This window comes from Homo sapiens, chromosome 12, assembly GCF_000001405.40.
Source record: "Homo sapiens chromosome 12, GRCh38.p14 Primary Assembly".
NCBI lineage: Eukaryota > Metazoa > Chordata > Mammalia > Primates > Hominidae > Homo > Homo sapiens.
In genome coordinates, this window is record NC_000012.12 from 111,380,273 (window position 1) to 111,400,082 (window position 19,810).

The following is a 19,810-nucleotide window of genomic DNA, read 5'->3' on the forward strand; positions in this document are numbered from 1 at the left end:
CTGTTTGGTGTCCATAAACACAGGAATCTTTATCTTCTTGCCCACCACCAGATCTCCAACACCTGTCTCCATACCTAGCACACAGTAGGTGCTCAGTAAATGCTTGTGGGATGAATGGAGCGCCACCTCTGGGATGTAATCTCCATGAAAGCTGAGGCTTTTGTTCTAGCACTGCCATGTTCCCAGCATGTGGCACACACCAGATCTTCGCTAAGTGCTTGTTAGACGAAGAGAGTACCCACAAAAAGACAGTCCCACCTTCTCATGTGAAGGCAGGCTCCCAGGCCAGCCCTGGCTATGGATGTTCTAGCAGGGTAGGGTTTCCCACTGAGCTTCCCACACCCTGTCCCCTTCCCCAAGGCCTCTTATCCACTTCCACCATGCTGTCAGCAAACTCAGATCCCATACTTTGTGTGTGCCTCACATTTCACAGGTCTGCCCTGGCTCAATGCGTTGTTGGTCACAGTCGGAGAGAAGGTCCCTGAGCCTTTGACCCACGGCATGGGGAAATGAATGCCTGGTCAGGTCAGGGACTCTTGGTTGTGTGATCCTGGGGAAGCTCCTCCCTGCTCTGGGCTTCACTCTTTTCAGGGAGACAGGGCTTGTGGACCTTGGAGAGTAGATATGTGGTGCCCCCAGAAAGACACACACACACACACACACACACACACACACTCACTCTTCCATGGAAGGCATATTGCCCATTAGAATAGATGTGTGGTGCCCCCAGAAAGACACACACACACACACATACACACACACACACACAAACACACTCTTCCATGGAAGGCATATTGCCCATTCCCTCTGCCTGGGCAATCAGAACGGTCTGTGCCCCTGGCTATGATGAGGGGTTCAAGGATAGACATGTGACCCATGCCTGGCCAGCCAGGCTCAGACCTGAGACCCTGTTAAGTGGGAGGAGCAACACCTGCCCCGATGGGACAGAGCCTGCCTGATAGTGAAGCCAGTGCAGAGGGAAGATGTGGAGGGAGAAGGCTACCAGGCAGCATCAGTGGAGCCCCTGGATTCCGGGCCAGCACTAATGCTGGCATCATTCCCAGGGCAGGAAGGGCAAGGTGGAGTATCCCCAAGTCTAGACGTTCACCAGGAAAGGAAAATGCCAGGCATATGGACATATGGGCCTTGATGTGGGTGAAATTCCAGGGGGCCTGCGAATCTTGGTTCTCAGAGCCCCTCATGCTGGAGTCAAAGGTTGACCTGGGTGAAGGAGGCAGACATCAGAAAGCATGAGCCTGGCTTTTTTTTTTTTTTTTGGTGGGGGGTTGCGGGGGGTTCCTTTTATTCATTATTTTAATTGAGGGAAAATTCACAAAACAAAAAGTTAACCATTTTAAAGTGAATAATTTAGGGCCAGGCATGGTGGCTCACGCCTGTAATCCTAACACTTTGGGAGCCCAAGGCGGGAAGATCACTTTGAGCCTGGGAGCTAGAGACCAGCCTGGGCAATACAATGAGATCCCATCTCTCCAAAATTTTTTTAAATTAGGGCCTCATTGAATATGGCCACTGCTTTTAGGGTTCCTATGTCTCTCTTCACAATCTGAGCCAGGCCTGCATGCCAGCAACCGTTTTCTAAGGGAACTGCATTTAGTGTTGATCTTGGTTCCACCAACTCTTGTGTGGGTATTGTCCAGCACAAAAAGGTAAAGTTAATTGTCAATGATTGGGGAAACTGAACCCCTCCAAGCTATGTCACCTTTACGGCTACTGAACGATTGATTGGTGATGCCACAAAGAATCAAGTGGCAATGAACCCCAACAACACAGTTTTTGATGGCCAACATCTTATTGGATGCGGATTTGATCATACTGTTGTCTGGTCTGATAAGAAGCACTGGCCCTTCATGGTGGTGAGTGATGCTGGCAGACCCAAGGTCCAAGGAGAGAACAAGGGAAAAACAAAAAGCTTCAGGCCAGGTGTGGTGGCTCACACCTGTAATCCCAGCACTTTGAGAGGCTGAGGCGGGTGGATTGCTTGAGCCCAGGAGTTCGAGACCAGCCTGGGCAACATGGTGAAACCCTGGCTGTACTAAAAATACAAAAATTAGCCAGGTGTGGTGGTGTGTACCTCTAGTCCCAGCTACTCAGGAGGCTGAGGCAGGAGGATTGCTTGAACCCAGGAGGTCAAGGCTGCAGTGAGCCATGATCACGCTACTGCACTCCAACCTGGGCAACAGAACGAAACCCTGTCTCAAAACAAAAAACTTCTATCCAGAGATGTCCCCTATGGTTGTGACAAAGATGAAGGAAATTGCAGAAGCCTACCTTGGGAAGACTGTTACCAATGCTGTGCTCACAGTGCCAGCCTACTTTAATGACTCAGCATCAGGCTACCAAAAAGATGCTAGAACTATTGCTGGTCTCAATGGACTTAGAATTAGCAATGAGCCAACTGCTGCTGCTATTGCTTATGGCTTAAACCAAAAGGTTGGAACTGAAAGAAATGTGTTGATCTTTGACCTGGGAGGTAGCACTTTTTAAAATTTTATTTATTTATTTTATTTTATTTTTTGAGACAAGGTCTCATTCTGTCACACAGGCTGGAGTGCAGTGGCACGATCTTGGCTTACTACAACATTGCTCTCCTGAGCTCAAGCAATCCTCCCACCTCAGCCTCCCAAATAGCTGGGATTACAGTTGTTTGCCACCATGCCCAGCTAATTTTTGTTTATTTTTTGTAGAGATGAGGTCTCACTATGTTGCCCAGGCTGGTCTCAACCTCCTGGTATCAAGAGAGCCTCCCACCTTGGCCTCCTAAGTAGCAGGACTATAGGCGTGCGGGATGTGGCACTTTTGATGTGTCAGTCCTCACTATTGAGGATGAAATTTTTGAAGTCAAATCTACAGCTGGAGAAGGTGGAGAAGACTTTGCAACCAAATGGACAGCCGTTGCATTGCTGAGCTCAAGTGCAAGCATAAGAAGGACCTCAGTGAGAACAGGAGAGCTGGCCGGGCATGGTGGCTCATACCTACAATCCCAGTACTTCGGGAGGCCAAGGTCGTTGGATCATTGAGGTCAGGAGTTCAAGACCAGGCTGGCCAACATGGTGAAACCCCATCTCTACTAAAAATACAAAAGTTAGCCGGGTATGGCTGGGCACGGTGGCTTATGCCTGTAATCCCAGCACGTTGGGAGGCTGAGGCAGGTGGATCACGAAGTCAGGAGATTGAGACCATCCTGGCTAACATGGTGAAACCCCGACTCTACTAAAAATACAAAAAATTAGCCGGGCATGGTGGCACGTTCCTGTAGTCCCAGCTAGTCGGGAAGCTGAGGCAGAAGAATCGCTTGAACCCGGGAAGCGGAGGTGGCAGTGAGCCAAGATCGCACCACTGCACTCCAGCCTGGACGACAGAACGAGACTCCATCTCAAAAAAAAAAAAAAAAAAAAAAAAAATTAGCTGGGTGTGGTGGCAGGCACCTGAAATCCCAGCTACTTGGGAGGCTGAGGTAAGAGAATCATTTGAACCCAGGAGGCAGAGGTTGCAGTGAGCCAAGATCGCATCATTGCACTCCAGCATGGGTGACAGGAGCAAGACTCTGTCTCAAAAAATAATTTTTTTTTTCAAAAATTAGCCAGGCATAGTGGTGGGCGCCTGTAATCCCAGCTATTCAGGAGGCTGAGGCATGAAAATTGCTTGAACCCGGGAGGCAGAGATTGCAGTGAGCAGAGATTGGGCCACTGCACTCCAGCCTGGGTGACAGAGGGAGACTCCGTCTCAAAAAAAAAAAAGAAAAGAAAAAGAGCTGCCCGCACGCCTTCATGCGGCTTGTGAACATGCAAAACATACTCTCTCTTCCAACACCCAGGCCAGTATTGAGATTGATTCTCTCTAGGCAGGAATTGACATCTATACCTCCATTACCATGCCCGATTTGAAGAATTGAATGCTGACCTGTTCCATAGCATCCTGGACCCCGTAGAAGAAGCCCTTTGAGACACCAAACTAGACAAGTCACAGATTCATGACATCACCCTGGTTGCTGGTTCGGCTTCTAACTGCAAGATTCAGAGCTTGCCCAAGACTTCTTCAATAGAAAAGAACTGAAGGCTGGGCATGGTGGCTCATGCCTGTAATCCCAACAGTTTGGGAGGCTGAGGCAGGAGGATCACTTGAGCCCAGGAGGTTGACACTGCAGTGGGCCATGACTGTGCCACTGCACTCCAGCGTGGGCAACAGTAGGAGACCCTGTCTCAAAAAAACAAACAAAACTGCATAGGAGCATTGACCCTGATGAAGCTGTTTCTTACGATCCAGCTACCCAGGCAGCCATCTGATCTGGAGACAAACAGATCAGAAAATCAGAAAATGTTCAAGACTCATTGCTCCTGGATGTCACTCCTCTTTCCCTTCCATTGAAACTGCTGGCAGAGTCACAACAGTCCTTGTTAAGCATAATACTACCATTCCTACCAAGCAGACACAGACCTTCACTACCTGCTCTGGCAACCAGCCTGCTGTGCTTACTCAGGTTTATGAAGGCGAGCGTGCCGTGAGCAAGGATAACAGCCTGCTTGGCAAGTTTGAACTCACGGGCATACTTCCTGTGACAGTGCTCCTCACACTGAAGTCACTTGACACTGATGCTAGTGACATCCTCAGTGTCTCTGCTGTGGACAAAAGTATAGGAAGCTGGGTGTGGTGGCTCACGCCTGTAATCCTAGCATGTTGGGAGGCCAAAGCAAGTGGATTGCTTGAGCCTAGGAGTTTGAGACCATCCTGAGCAACAATGGTGAAACCCCATTTCTACAAAACAATACAAAAAAATTAGCCGGGTGTGATAGGGTGAACCTGTAGTCTCAGCTACTTGGGGGTGCTGAGGCAGAAGGATCAGTTGAGCCCAGGAAGTCAAAGCTGCAATGAGCCGAGTTTGTGCCACTACACTCTAGCCTGGGCAAGAGAGCAATGTCTCAAAAAAATAAAAAATAGTACAGGAAAAAAGAACAAGATTACTATCACTAATGAATGACAAGGGCCGTTTGAGCAAGAAGGACATTGAGCGTATGGTCCAGGAAGATGAGCAGTACAAAGCTGAAGATGAGAAGCAGAGGGTCAAGAATTCATTTGAATCCAATGCATTCAACAGGAAAGTCACCACTGAAGATGAGAAAATTCAAGGCAAGATTAATGGTGAGGACAAACAGAAAATTCTTGACAAGTGTAATGAAATTATCAACTGGCTCCATAAGAATCAGATGACAGAGAAGGAAGAAATTGATCATCAGCAGAAAGAGCTGGAGAAAGGCTGTAACCCCATCATTACCAAGCTGGACCCAAGTGCAGGAGGACCGCCAGGAGGCTCACCTGGGGGAGTCCCTGGTCATGGAGCTCCTCCCTCTACTTCCCTACTTCCTCAGGGATTCAGCCATAGAAAAGAATGAAGGACTGCTACAAGCCACAATGGGATGAGCCTCAAAACCACGATGCTAAGAGACAAAGCCAGTCACAAAGAAACACGTAGTGTCCCTACTTCCTCAGGGACAACCATTTAAGAGGTTGATTAGGTCGGGCATGGTGGCTTACCCCTGTAATCCCAGCACTTTAGGAGGCCAAGGTGAGCAGATCACGAGGTCAGGAGATCGAGAACATCCTGGCTAACACAGTGAAACCCCGTCTCTACTAAAAATACAAAAAATTAGCCGGGTGTGCTGGTGGGTGCCTGTAATCCCAGCTACTCGGGAGGCTGAGGCAGGAGAACGGCATGAACCCAGGAGGCGGAGCCTGCAGTGAGCCAAGATGGCACCATTGCACTCCAGCCTGGGCGACAGAGCGAGACTCCATCTCAAAAAAAAAAAAAAAAGAGGTTGATTAAGCCAACCCCAATATAAAGATCACATGATTCCACATAGTCAAAACATTGAAGAACCCAAATTTGTAACAAATTCTGTGGCAGTTTTAATGCTGAGCTGCTAGGGGCCAGGTGTAGTAGCTCATGGCTGTAATCCCAGCACTTTGGGAGGTTGAGGCAGGTGAATCACTTGAGGTCAGGAGTTCAAGATCAGCCTGGCCAACGTGGTGAAACCCTGTCTCTACTAAAAATACAAAAATCAGCTGGGCATGGTGGTGCACACTTGTAATCCTGGCTACTCGGGAGGCTGAGGCAGGAGAATCGCTTGAACCCGGGAGGCGGAGGTTGCAGTGAGCAGAGATTGCGCCACTGCACTCCAGCCTGGGTGACAGAGTGGGACTCTATCTCAATAAATAAATAAATAAATAAATAAATAAAGTCGAGCTGCTAGAGTAAATTACTGGACATTCTCAATGCTTATATGGAACATGTGGAAGTAACATTGTAGTTTATAAGCACTGTATTCTAAGTGGAAAATGCAATGTCTTAAATAAAACTATTTAAAATTGGCACCTCCCAAAAAAATAGCCAATCTGGGTGGCAGGCACCTGTATTCCAAGCTACTCAGGAGGCTGTGGTGGGAGAATGATTGCTTGAGCCCAGGAGGTTGAGGTTGCAGTGAGCCATGATTGCTCCACTGCACTCCAGCCTGGGTGATGGAGCGAGACCCCATCTTGAAATAAATACATAAATAAAGTGGACAATTCAGCAGCATTTAGTACACTCACAACATTATGAAGGTACCACCTCTATCAAGTTCCAAAACTTTTATTTTTCCTTTTTACTTTGATAATTGGAAGCATTGATCATTCCAAAACATTTTTATCACCCCAAAAGGAAAAGCCCTGTATCCATTAAGCAGTCACTCCCCATTGCCCCTCCCCCCAGCCCCTGGCAACCAGCCATCTGCTCTCTGTCTCTATGGGTTTCCCTATTCCGGACATTTCATATGAATGGAATCAACACTACGTGTTTCTTTGTGACTGGCTTTGTCTCTTAGCATCGTGGTTTTGAGGCTCATCCCATTGTGGCATGTATCAGTCCTTCTTCTTTTCTATGGCTGAATCATGTTCCCTTGTATGGATACCCTAATTTTTTTTTTTTTTTTGAGACAAGATCTCATTTTGTTCCCCAGGTTGGAGTGCAGTGGCACAATCATGGCACACTGCAGCCTCAACCTCCTGGACTCAAGCAATCCTCCCACCTCCGCTTCCTGAGTAGCTGGGACTACAGGTGCATGCCACCACTCCAGGCAATTTTTTTGTTTGTATTTTTTGTAGAGACAGGGTCTCACTATGTTGCCCAGGCTGGTCTCGAACTGAACTACTGACCTCAAGTGATCCACCCACCTTGGCCTCTCAAAGTGCTGGAATTACAGGTGTGAGCCACTGCAACTGGCCAGATATGCCACCTTTGGTTTATCCATCCATCCATCCATTGAGGACCGCAGGGTGTCTCCGTTTGGGCTACTGTGAACACCCAGGCATCTTTGTGGCTGGGAACAGGAGAGGTGTGGAGAGCAGACAGTGAGTCAGAAGAACTAAAAAGGGAAATTTGGGAACTAGAACTGGGCTTTGGCCACCGAGATCAAGTCCTGATTTTACCTCCAAACCGTGTCTTGAATCCATCACTTCTCCATCTCTGCCACCACTTCCCCATCCCAGGCCACCACTATCTCTCCCCAGGTCGGTTACTGCAGCCTCCCTTCCGGCCTCCCTTCTGCCACTCCCAACTCCCTCATCCCCAGGGTTCATTCTCCACTGAGCAGCCGAGGGATCCTCTTAGAACTTTCATGAAATCAAGTCATGGCACCCTCTTGCCCAAAGCCTTTCCATGGCTCCCCATGGCCTTGGGAGCAAGTCCAGACTCCATCCCATGGGTGACAAGGCCCTCCTTATCCTGGCTGCTGGCTACCCCTCAAGCCTCTTCACACATGGTTTACTCTCCTCACGCTTCGCTGCAGCTGCCTGGCCTCCCTCTCTTCCCAGAGTGCGCCAGGCTCCAGGCCCTTGCATGTGCTGGTCCCCTTCCCAGGAGGCTTCCTCCTTCACTCAGCCACCCCTCATCCTTTAAGTGTTCACTCAGCCATTGCCTCTTCCAGGAAGGTCTGTGACCCCAACCCTTCCCCTCCCGCTAAGTCAGAGGCCTTCGCTGCTTCCCATTAGCCATTCTTTCAACCAGTATTTACTGGGCACTGCTTTGTCCCAGGCACCAGGGATAGAAGTTAAAAAGACAGGCAATGGCCAGGCACAGTGGCTCACACCTGTAATCCCAGCACTTTGGGAGGCCAAAGCAGGCGGATCATTTGAGGTCAGAAGTTTGAGACCAGCCTGGCCAACATGGCGAAACCCCATCTCTACTAAAAATATAAAGGTAGCCGGGCATGGTGGTGCTTGCCTGTAATTCCGGGGTTCTCAGGAGGCTGAGGTGGAAGAATCACTTGAACCTAGGAGGCAGAGGTTGCAGTGAGCTGAGATCATGACACTCCACACCAGCCTGGGTGACAGAACAAGACTCTATCAAAAAAATTAAACAATTAATTAAATGGTTAGTTTTGCAGGGCATGGTGGTTCACACCTGTACACTGGGCTTTTTTTTTTTTTTTTTTTGGAGTCCCACTATTCAGAGGCTGAGGCAGGAGGATCACTTGAGCCTGGGAGGCCGAGGCTACAGTGAGCCATGATCCTGCCACCACCACACTCCAGCCTAGGTGACAGAGCAAGACTCTGTCTCTAAATAAATAAATAAATAAATAAAATGGTTAGTTTTGCTGGGCGCAGTGGCTCACACCTGTAGTCCCAGCCTCTTGGGAGGCTAAGGCAGAAGAATCACTTGAGCCCAGGAGTTCAAGACAATCCTGGGCAACATAGCAAGATTCCATCTCTATGTAAAAAAAAAAAAAAATAGTTTTATGTTATAGGAACTTCACCTCATTTAACTTATTATTTTTTTAAAGACAGACAAGACAAGTGCCCCTGCCCTTCCTGACCAGAGGGGAAAATAAGTAAATAACATTCGTACAGTCCATGAATTGAAGTTAAGAGCCCAGGAGAAAAATAAGCAGGGCAAGAGGATATGAATTGTTCATGAGGATGGGTTGCAGGGCTTGTCATTTTACTAGGAGGGGACCGAGGAAGGCCTCCTTGAGAAGGCAGCCTTTGAGCAAAGACCTGAAGGAAATAAGGGCACAAACCATGCAGATGGCCAGGGAACAGCGTTGTTGGCAGAGGGAACAGCACATGCAGAGGCCCGCAGGCAGGAGGCCATGTGGCTGCAGCAGAGAGGAGGGGAGAGGAGAGATGACATCATGGAGGCCTGTGGGCTTTTCTCAGGAGGTTGGGAAGATGTGGCAGGACCCACAAAGGAAATGAGAAGATACAGCCAGTGACATAGGAGAAAAACCAGGAGAAGCCAATTGCAGGTCACGTATCTGGGCTTGATAACTATGGATGTACCCTTGGCGGGCTTCTCCCCACATTGGAAGGCAGGTCCAGGAAGGCAGGGGGTTTGGTCTGCCTTGTTCACCGCTGTGTCTCAGCACCTGGCAGTGCCCAGGACATAGCAGGTGCTTGGTGACGAGGATATGAGTCAGTGGCTGACCTGGTGTCCCCTGGCCCCGCTGTTTGGCATCCAGATCTCAGTCTCTGGACTGATGGCAGTGATGCCCCTCTTCACCTAGCCACCAGCAGGGGCAGATGGTGGTCCAGGTGGGATCTGAGGCGGAGCTTCCTTCCACCATGGCCACCCCACCCAAGAAGTGGGCTGAGCCAGCCACCCACAAGAGGGAACCGAAATCATCCTCCACCACAAACACGCTGGCCTGGCTCCACACTGGGCAGGACATGGAGGAAGGGGGAGCGATAGTGAGGGCCAGAGTCCCTCCACTTCAAGGGTCCCCTTCCCCTGGTATATACATGGGAAAAAGGAGACACCAGCCAAGGGCTGGGTTGCTGTGTGTGAGTGAATTTTGCTGAAGTCCCAAAGACCTGGAAGGTCCTGCCGGCTCATCCCCTGCCTCAAGTGCAGGGGTTTTTGTTGTTGTTGTTGTTTTAATTTTTTTTTATTTTTTTATTTTTTTGAGACAGAGTCTCACTCTGTCACCAAGCTGAAGTGCCGTGGCATGATCTCAGCTCACTGCAACCTCTTCCTCCCGGGTTCAAGTGATTCTCATGCCTCAGCCTCCCGAGTAGCTGGGATTACAGGTGTGCACCACATAGCCTGACTAATTTTTTTTGTATTTTTAGTAGAGACAAGGTTTCGCCATATTGCCCAAGTTGGTCTCAAACTCCTGAGCTCAGGCAATCTGCCCACCTCGGCCTCCCAAAGTGCTGGGATTACAGGTGTGAGCCACCACACCTGGCAAGTGCAGGATTTATGAGTCCTGCTTTAAAAGGTGGCACATGAGACATGGTGGCTCTCACCTGTAATCCCAGCAGTTTGGGAGGCTGAGGCGGGAGGAATGCTTCAGGCCAGGAATTCAAGACTAGCCAGGGCAATATAGCAAGACTCCCTCTCTACAAAAAATAAAAATAAAAATTAGCTGGCCGTGGTGGCATTCACCTGTACTCCCAGTTACTTGGGGGACTGAGGCAGGAAGATCACTCAAGCCTGGAAGGTCGAGGCTGCGGTGAGTGATCACGCCACTGCATTCCAGGCTGGGCGACAGAGCAAGACCCTGCCTCAAACAAACAAACAAAAAAAGCTGGCATTGGCAACTTCTCCCTTTATCCTTTTGTCCCTCCTTTAAGGGAGCCTCTCATTTCCCCCCAGACCCCTGCCACAGACACCCAAATTCCTGGACATTTTCTCCCAAGGGGCAATTTCAATTTCTAAATTTCACCTGCTCAAAGCAACGAAGAGGTATTGCCTGGGGCCGGGGCTGTGTTTATTTGACATGGTGCCTCACTGTGAATCCTCAACCCAAAGCTCCGAGATGGTGAGTGAGGCACCAGTGTTCTCACAGGAAGAGGCAGAGCGGGTGCTAGCCTACTGGTCACCAAAGCTGGTGTTCCTTTTTTTTTTTTTTTTTTTAGACAGAATTTTGCTCTTGTTGCCTAGGCTGGAGTGCAATGGCGCGATCTTGGCAAGAAATTCTCCCGCCTCAGCCTCCCGAGTAGCTGGGACTACAGGCATGCGCCACCATGCCCACAAAGCTGGTATTCCTAACCACCTAGCACTCTCCACTTCAAATCCAAAAAATCCTATCCAAGTACTGCTTTAGCAAAACCCACAACCAACCAACTCCCGCCCAGAAACCCAGAATGGCTGCCTTCTGTAGATAGATTTCGTGGGATTTATTTTCCTTCTGGCTCTTCAGGGTCAGGAGCTGAAGGGAGGTGAGGCTGGCAGGCATGGTTCCTGAGTCGCATCCAGGATTGCAGAAGAGCAGAGGAGGTCTTTCATTTGCCGGTGAAGCCCCAGACTCATAAAGCAACTTGTGCTGGGCGTGGTGGTCCGCACCTGCAGTCCCATCTACTCGGGAGGCTGAGGCGGGAGGATCGCTTGAGGCCAGGAGTTCAAGGCTGTAGTGCGCTATGATCGTGCCTGTGAATAGCCACTGCGCTGCAGCCTGGGCAACACAGCGAGACTGTCTCTTAAAAAAAATTTTTTTTTTTTTGAGGCGGAGTCTCACTCTTTCGCCCAGGCTGGAGTGCAGTGGCGCGATCTCGGCTCACTGCAAACTCCGCCTCCCTGGTTCACGCCATTCTCCTGCCTGAGCCTCCTGAGTAGCCGGGACTACAGGCGCCCGCCACCACGCCTGGCTAATTTTTTGTATTTTTAGTAGAGACGGGGTTTCACCGTGTTAGCCAAGATGGTCTCGATCTCCTGACCTCGTGATCCACCCGCCTCGGGCCCCCAAAGTGCTGGGATTACAGGCGTGAGCCACCACGCCCAGCCAAAATTTTTAAAAATAGTAAAAAGCAACTTGTAACCATGCATTAGGCTGGAAATTAATGGGTTTAATATGCATGAGTGGGTTCTAATCCCCACTCTGCCATTTGCAAACTGTGTGTCCTTCAGCAAGTCACTTTACCTCTCTGTGCCTTGGCCTCCTCATCTGTAAAACAGGGGAAACAGACTGGGCGCGGTGACTCACGCCTGTAATCCCAGCACTTTGGGAGGCTGAAGCGGGTGGATCACCTGAGGTCAGGAGTTCAAGACCAGCCTGGCCAACATGGCAAAATCCTGTCTCTACTAAAAATACAAAAAATAGCTGGCGTGGTGGTGTGCCTGTAATCCCAGCTACTTGGGAGGCTGAGGCAGGAGAATGGCTTGAACCCAGGAGGCAGAGTTTGCAGCAAGCTGAGATTGTGCCACTGTACTCCAGCCTGGGCGACAGAGCAAGTCTCCAGCTCAGAAACATAAAATAAAATAAAAATAATAGCTAATGTTTACCGAGCACTTGAGGGTTTTGCTTCTTACCATGACACTGATAATTAGGAAAGACTTTACTATCTCTATTTTAAACATAAAGAAACCAAACAGAGAGGTGACGCGGCTTGCCTGAAGTCACACAGCGAGCAAGTAAACCCGAGCTTAGAATCTGAGTAGCTGTGCAACCTTGGGCAAGTCACTTCACCTCTGTGAGCCTCAGTTTCCTCATCTGGAAAATGGAGATGATAAGGGTTGTTAGAAGAATTCAGTGAGCTTCATGGCCCATGAACTTGTCACTCTGTATTTAAGGGTATTTAACTTGTCACTTTGTATTTAAGGATTCACTTTCCAACTGCCTGTCTACCATGAGAACAAACACCATGTCTGCTGTGTTCCCCACTGTATCCCCAGTGCCTGGAGAAGTCCTAGCACATAGTAGGGGCTCAACAAATCTCAAGTTGAGGGGCAGTGTATTCTCTTGACCTTATGGGGCCCTAACTCCTCTCAGCCTTCCTCTGCTGCCTGGTGCTGCAAACGTCCAACCCCAGGGCCATTCCAGTCAACCCAATAGATGCAAACAGGACCATCCCAGTCTCCTGTTTCAGGTATGAGGAGCCCACAAAGCACATTTGGGTGTTATGATTGCTAGGAGGACCCAGTGCTGTTCTCTGGCCATTGCCAAGTGGCTAAAAGCTGCACACAAACAGGCTTCAGCCAAAAAGAAATGACTGACTTACAGAGCTGAGAAGTCCAAGAGTGACTGCTTTCAGGTATGGCTGGATCTAGGTGCACAGACATTGTCATCAAGATGGTTTTTCTCTGTCTCTGGGCTTTGCTCTACTATGAGTGTGTTCACTCCCAGGCAAGACAGCCCTCAGAAATTCCAAGCTCATGTCCTCTGGAGTGCAGTGACACGATTTCGGCTCACTGCAACCTCTGTCTCCCAGGTTCAAGCGATTCTGCTGACTCAGCCTCCCGAGTAGCTGGGATTACAGGCGTGCCACCACGCCCAGCTAATTTTTGTACTTTTTAGTAGAAATGGGGTTTCACCATGTTGGCCAGGCTGGTCTCGAACTCCTGACCTCAAGTGATCCGCCTGCCTTGACCTCCCAAAGTGCTAAGATTACAGGCATTGAGCCGCCGTGCCCAGCCCAAATGAGGTATTTTCTTATCCGACTGTGCTGTTAAAGACTGGAATTGAGGCTCATTGGCCCTGCCCACCCTTGAACCAGTCACTGGGGCATGGGAGGGAGGGTTAGCCCCAGAGAACATCTTGAACTCCGACTGGATGGAAAATCAGGTGCTTCTACCAGCACAAGGGGAAGTCAGGCAGCCACAGCCCATGTCCACTTCGACTTCGGCCTCACGGTGAGTGGCTTCCAGCAGGGAAACGCAGGGTCAGCTGCGCTCCCCACCCTCCAGCCCCACCCTCCGCTTTCTACTTCTGCTTCTAACAGTGTTGCCAAATACTCCCCTCTCTCCTCTCCTCCTTTCTATGGCCCTGTGGCCCCAGTTGCCTCAGAGACATGAAGTGACTTCCCCCAAGGTCACACAGCAGGTCTATGTGGCAGAGCCCTGAGGCGCACCCAGGCAGCTGGCCCCAGTGTCCTGCTCTTGACCCAAGAATAAGCTCAAGCCCACCCCTGTCTGAGTTCTGAAAGGAAGTAACTCAGGTGCCTGAGGCTCTGAAGATAATCCCTTTCCATCTGGGTGACTGATGGTCTGGTCTGATAGGCCTGAGAACCCCACAGAGGGCAGAGGAAAGTGCAGCTCCTTGCACCTTGCACCCTGCTTGCTGGCTTGGGGCACTCTCCTGGCTCGGGGCCCTTCCGGCCATGACCTCAACTCCTGCCTCCCTCTCTGGCACCCTCTTTTCATATATGTGTGTGTATATATATATATATATATATATATATATGGGGAGAGAGAGAGAGAGAGAGAGAGAGAGAGAGATGGGGGTTTCATCATGTCGCCCAGGCTAGTCTCAAACTCGTGAGTTCAAGCGATCTGCCCGCCTTGGCCTCCCAAAGTGCTGGGACTACAGACGTGAGCCACCACACCCAGTGCCCTCTGACACCTTCTGCCCCTCTCTGAGCATCTTGACATCTTACACCCCAGAGAGGCCCTGCTTGCTGCCTCCTCCAGTGCAGAGGGCACAGGTGGACAAGCTCCAGGGGCGGGCACCCCCATGCCTTTCTGCAGCCTCAGGCCCTGCCCAAGTCCCCTTGGGCTGGCAAGGGGCTCAGGAGGCCTCAAGTTGGTGATCTAGAACCAGGAAGCCACCCTGGCTGATTTGCAGGCGAGAAGTGGCCCGTACATATGTCACCTCCTCTGTGGGAGCAGCCCCAGCCTCTGCCAGGTTCTGGGGGTGTGGGAGAAGAACTTCCCAGCCTCTGCCGCACATCTGCATCTTGAGGTCAAGATCACCTGGGCAACAGGATGGGAGATGGAGGATGGGGGTGGGGTGGGGGGATAGGGCTGAAGGAATAGAGAGGGCAGGGTGCATCCTAACACCTTTTTCCACATTAAAAAATTTAAGGTGAAAGTCACATAACAAAATGAATTAATTAATTTTAGTTAGTGAATTAACTAAATTTATTCATTTACTTAGAGACAGAATCTTGCTGTGTCACCCAGGCTGGAGTGCAGGGGCAGGATCACCGCTCACTGCAGCCTCAAACTCCTGGACTCAAGTGATCCTCCCACCACAGCGCCTCCTGAGTAGCTGAGACTACAGGCGCATTCTACCTTGCCCGAATATTATTATTATTATTATTATTATTATTATTATTTTATTTTGTAGAGATATGAGTCTCACTATGTTGCTTAGGCTGGTCTCTTAACTCCAGGGCTCAAGTAGTCCTCCCACCTTGGCCTCCCCAAATGCTGGAATTACAGGTTTGAGCTACCGCACCCGGCCTCATGAAGTAACTAAATTTAGTACATTCACAGTGTTGTGCCACCATCATTTATCTCAGTCTAGATCCAGAACATTTCATCACCCCTAAAGGAAACCCCATACTCATTAGAAGTTACTTCCTATTCCCGCTGCCCATAGCCCATGGCAACCACTGGTCTACTTTCTGTCTCTAGGGGTTTACCTATTCTATATACTTTACATAAGCAGAATCACACAATATTTGTCCGTTTATGACTGGCTTATTTCACTTAGCATGATGCTTCCAAGTTTCATCCACATTGTAGCATATATCAATGCTTCGGTCCTTTTTATGGCTGTGTAATATTCCATTGTATAGATAGCATTGTCTTGATTCATTCATCCCCTGGTGGGCACATGAGTTGTTTCTATCTTTTGCCTATTGTGAATGGCACTGCTATGAACATTCATGTACAAGTATCTGTCTGAGTGCCTGTTTTCAATTCTTTTGCCTCTGTACTTTAGCTAACATTTTTGTTTGTTTAGAGATGGGGGTCTCACTATGTTGCCCAGCTTGGCCTCCGACTCCTGAGCTCAAGTGATCCTCCCACTTCAGCCTCCCAAAGTGCAGGGATTACAGGCATGAGCCATCTCACCTGGCTTTAGCTAACATTTTGATGCTTTTTTTTTTTTTTGAGATGGAGTCTCGCTGTGCTGCCCAAGCTGGAGTGCAATGGCATGATCTCAGCTCACTGCAACTTCCACCTCCCTGGTTTAAGCGATTCTCCTGCCTCAGCCTCCCAAGTAGCTGGGATTACAGGCATGCACCACTACGCCTGGTTAATTTTTGTATTTTTAGTAGAGACAGAGTTTTGCCATGTTGCCCAGGCTGGTCTCGAACTCCTGACCTCAGGTGATCCACCCACCTTGGCCTCCCAAAGTTCTGGGATTACAGGCGTGAGCCACTGCACCTGGCCTTGATGCTTCTTTTAATGTAGATTAAATGAGGCGGGTAGGATTAAGCTGTTCTTAGTAATCCACTCCTCATTGTAAAAGAAAGACCTGAGAACAGGTTTAGCTAGTAATAGTCAGCATTATTTGTTTATTTATTTATATATTTTGAGACAGTCTCACGCTATCACCCAGGCTGGAGTAGTGGCACTATCTCGGCTCACTACAACTTGTCCCTCCCAGGTTCAAGCAATTCTCCTGTCTCAGCCTTCCAAGTAGCTGGGATTACAGGCATGCACCACCGCGCCAGGCTAATTTTTGTATTTTTAGTAGAGACAGGGTTTCACCCTGTTGGCCAGGCTGCTCTCGAACTCCTGGTCTCAAGCAGTCCTCCCACCTCGGCCTCCCAAAGTGGTGGGATTACAGACGTGAGCCACCACGCCCCACTGGTGTCCTCATTCTTTGTTCCCATTTTACAGATGCGGAAACTGAAGCTCAGAGAGCCCAAGTCATTTGCCCAAGGTGACCCAGCACTGAAGGGAGAAGCTAGCCATTAAGCTGTCCCCAAACCCGTGTACTCAACGTTGATGGCTACTCGATGGTGGCTGAGAGGCATCCAACCTGGAGCCTGGGAAGCTTCCAGGAAGGCTTGGGGGGAATCCAAGAGGAAGGTTCTTTGCGGGAGAAAGAGTGAGGCAGGGGAGTTTAGGAGGCCGCTTCCCAGCCCTCGATCGCCCCACAGCCACCAGGGGGCGCCAGAGCCCCGCGCAAAGCGGCTGCCACCAAGTGGCTGCCACCGCGCGTTACCACCCTCAGGGCCTGATGCCTGGGACTGCGGCCAAGTCCCGGCCCCAGGAGCTCGCGTGCCCCACGTTGATCCCGGGTCACGGGTGGGGACGGCTGGGGTAACTGGGTTGTACGTCCTCTGCGGAGCTATTAGGGACTCTAATTACCGGGATTGGAAGTGAATAATTATCTACTGGGCCTCAGGCTACTGAGTCACTTCCCCCAGAAACCAGATTCCCCAGGCTAGCGGAAGAGGGGGCGGCTCGCAGGCTGAGGTTGGGGCGGGGGAAGGTGGAAGCGGGGGTCTGGGGTTGGGGTGCGCGGCCGCCGCTGTTTTTGGTCAAGATCAGAACTGGGGAGCCTGGGTGTAAATCGCTGCTGGGCCACTTACCAGCCACGTGAATTGGGGAAGTCACTTCACCTTTCGTGCCTCAGTTTCCTTTCTGTCAAATGGGGGAAAACAACATTCTCTCCTTACAGTTGTTGGGCAAAGTAAATTGTAATCTACCTAAACTAAGCCCTCAGAGTAGTCCCTGGCACATAATCCTCTAATAATTCATTAATCACTCAGAATTATTAATTAGGCCGGGCGAGGTGCCTCACGTTTATAATCCCAGCACTTTGGGAGGCCGAGGCGGGCGGATCACTTGAGGTCAGGAGTTTGAGACGAGCCTGGGCAACATGGGGAAACCCCATCTCTACTAAAAATACAAAAAATTAGCCAACCGTGGTGGCTCATGCCTGTAATCCCAGCTACTTGGGAGGCTGAGGCACGAGAATCGTTTGAACCCGGGAGGCAGAGGTTGCAGTGAGCCAAGATCGAGTCATTGCACTCCAGCCTTGGTGACAGAGCAAGACTCCCTCCCCCAACCCCCCCCCAAAAAAAAAGGACAAAAAAGAACATTAATTAATCATTAATCATTGGGCCGGGTGTGGTGGCTGATGCCTATAATCCCAGCACTTTGGGAGGCTGAGGCAGGCAGATCATGAGGTCAGGAGTTCGAGACCAGCCTGACCAACATAGAGAAACCCCGTCTCTACTAAAAATACAAAAATTAGCTGGGCGTAGTGGTGCATACCTGTAATCCCAGCTACTCAGGAGGCTGAGGCAGGAGAATCGCTTGAACCCAGGAGGTGGAGGTTGCAGTGAGCCGAGATCGAGACATTGCACTCCAGCCTGGGTGACAGAGTGAAACTCCATCTAAAAAAAAAAAATCATTAACCATTAATTCAGAATCATTAATTCTGTTATTATTACCATTTTTTATCACTTGGGCTCAGTAAGTGATTAAGAGGTAGGGCACTACAGTGAGGCCAGTCTTTAGTCCACACCAGCTGCTTCATTGCCAGTCGTGTGACATGGACATGTCACTTCACTGCCCTGTGCCTCAGTTCCTTCATCTGACAAATGGGAAAATGAATAGCAAACCGTTCATTTGGGGTGGAAGAGATAAGGCCTGTGATGTTCTCAGTGTGGCGCACGCTTCCATAAATGGAGTCCAGATTGTAAATACTGTTCATGCTTTTCTTAGGGAAGGACTTGTGGCAATTTTAGCTTCTAAGGCACTGGGAGGACAGAAAACAGAACTGAATCCAAGGGAAGGAAGCACAGGGAGAGATGACATCAGGCACTTGAGCTCAGCAGATCAGACCCTGAGCCCAGGAATCGGCCTTGGGAGTTCTGCCCACCCAGGCAAAAAGGGAAGAACCCAGTAATGTAATTATTTTCTGGCCTGGGGCAGATGTGTATTGACCAAGGGGGACCATTTCCTGAGCCCTCTTGGTCTCTGTTGGACCCTAATGGGTGGGAAAAGGGTTGGTTGGACCTCACCCCCCCAAGGTTTCTTGAGCTCTGTGTTAATTATTGATTGCTGGGTAACAAATTACTCCTGCATTTACTGGCTTAAAACAGCAAACCTTTATTATCTCATATGGTTTTAGGAATTCACATGCAATCTGACTTAGCTTGTAGTTCAGGGTCTCTCACTCCTGAGATGGTAGTCCGAAACATGGGCTGGTGGCACGCACATGCAGTTGCAGCTATTTGAGAGGCCGAGACAGGAGGATTGTTTGAGCCTAGAAGTTCAAGGCTATAGATCGTGCTATATGATCGTGCCTGTGAATAGCCATTGCATTCCAGTCTGGGCAATGAAACAAGACCCCGTCTTTTAAATAAACAAACAAACAAAAATGGGTTAGGACTGTTCTCATCTGGGGTCCAACTGGGGCTGGATGATTCACTTCCAGGATAGTTGGAAGTGATGGTTTCAGTCCTGGCTGTTGCCAGGAGGTCTCTGTTCCTTGCTGGCTGGTGGCAGGAAGCCTCAGTTCCTCTTCACACGGACCTCCATAAAGCTACTTGGGTGTCCTTAAGACACGGTGGCTGGCTTCTCCCAGAGTGGATGGCTCAAGAGAGTACAAGGAGAAGCCTAAATGCTTCTTATGACTCAGTCTCAGAAGTCACACAGCGTCACTTCCACTTTAGTCTCTGTTAGAAATGACTCATTAAGGCCAGGTGTGGGGGCTCACGCCTGTAATCCCAGCACTTTGGGAGGCCGAGGCGAGCGGATCACGAGGTCAGGAGATCAAGACCATCCTGGCTAACACAGTGAAACCCTGTTTCTACTAAAAATACAAAAAATTAGCTGGGCGTGGTGGCTCGTGCCTATAGTCCCAGCTACTCAGGAGGCGGAGGTTGCAGTGAGCCGAGATCGCACCACTGCAGTCCAGCCTGGGTGACAGAGCAAGACTCTGTCAGAAAGAAAGAAAGAAGGAAAGGAAGGAAGGAAGAAAGGAAGGAAGGAAGGAAGGAAGGAAGGAAGGAAGGAAGGAAAGGAAGGAAGGAAGGAGTCATTAAGTCCAGCCCACACTCAAGGGCAGGGGAATCAGGTTCCACCTTTTCAAGGGAGGTATGTCAAAGAAGTGTGGACTGTTTTTAAGCCACG

At 49.8% G+C, this 19,810-nt stretch overlaps 1 long non-coding RNA gene and 1 pseudogene across 4 annotated transcripts in view; both read left to right on the top strand.

Moving 5' to 3' along the window:
- LINC02356 (long intergenic non-protein coding RNA 2356) overlaps positions 1 to 19,810 on the top strand; it is a 34,050-nt gene that overhangs the window by 11,012 nt on the left and 3,228 nt on the right. For 2 of the 4 annotated variants that reach the window (NR_187522.1, NR_187520.1), the window contains one exon: positions 16,559 to 16,601. The exons of 1 other annotated variant lie outside the window; for it this stretch is intronic. This is a non-coding gene — a long non-coding RNA (long intergenic non-protein coding RNA 2356). Of the gene's footprint in view, positions 1 to 13,513; positions 13,619 to 16,558; positions 16,602 to 19,810 lie in introns of those variants that run through there. One more of the 4 variants, NR_187523.1, reaches the window with a different exon arrangement.
- On the top strand, positions 1,514 to 5,408 carry HSPA8P14 (heat shock protein family A (Hsp70) member 8 pseudogene 14; annotated as a pseudogene).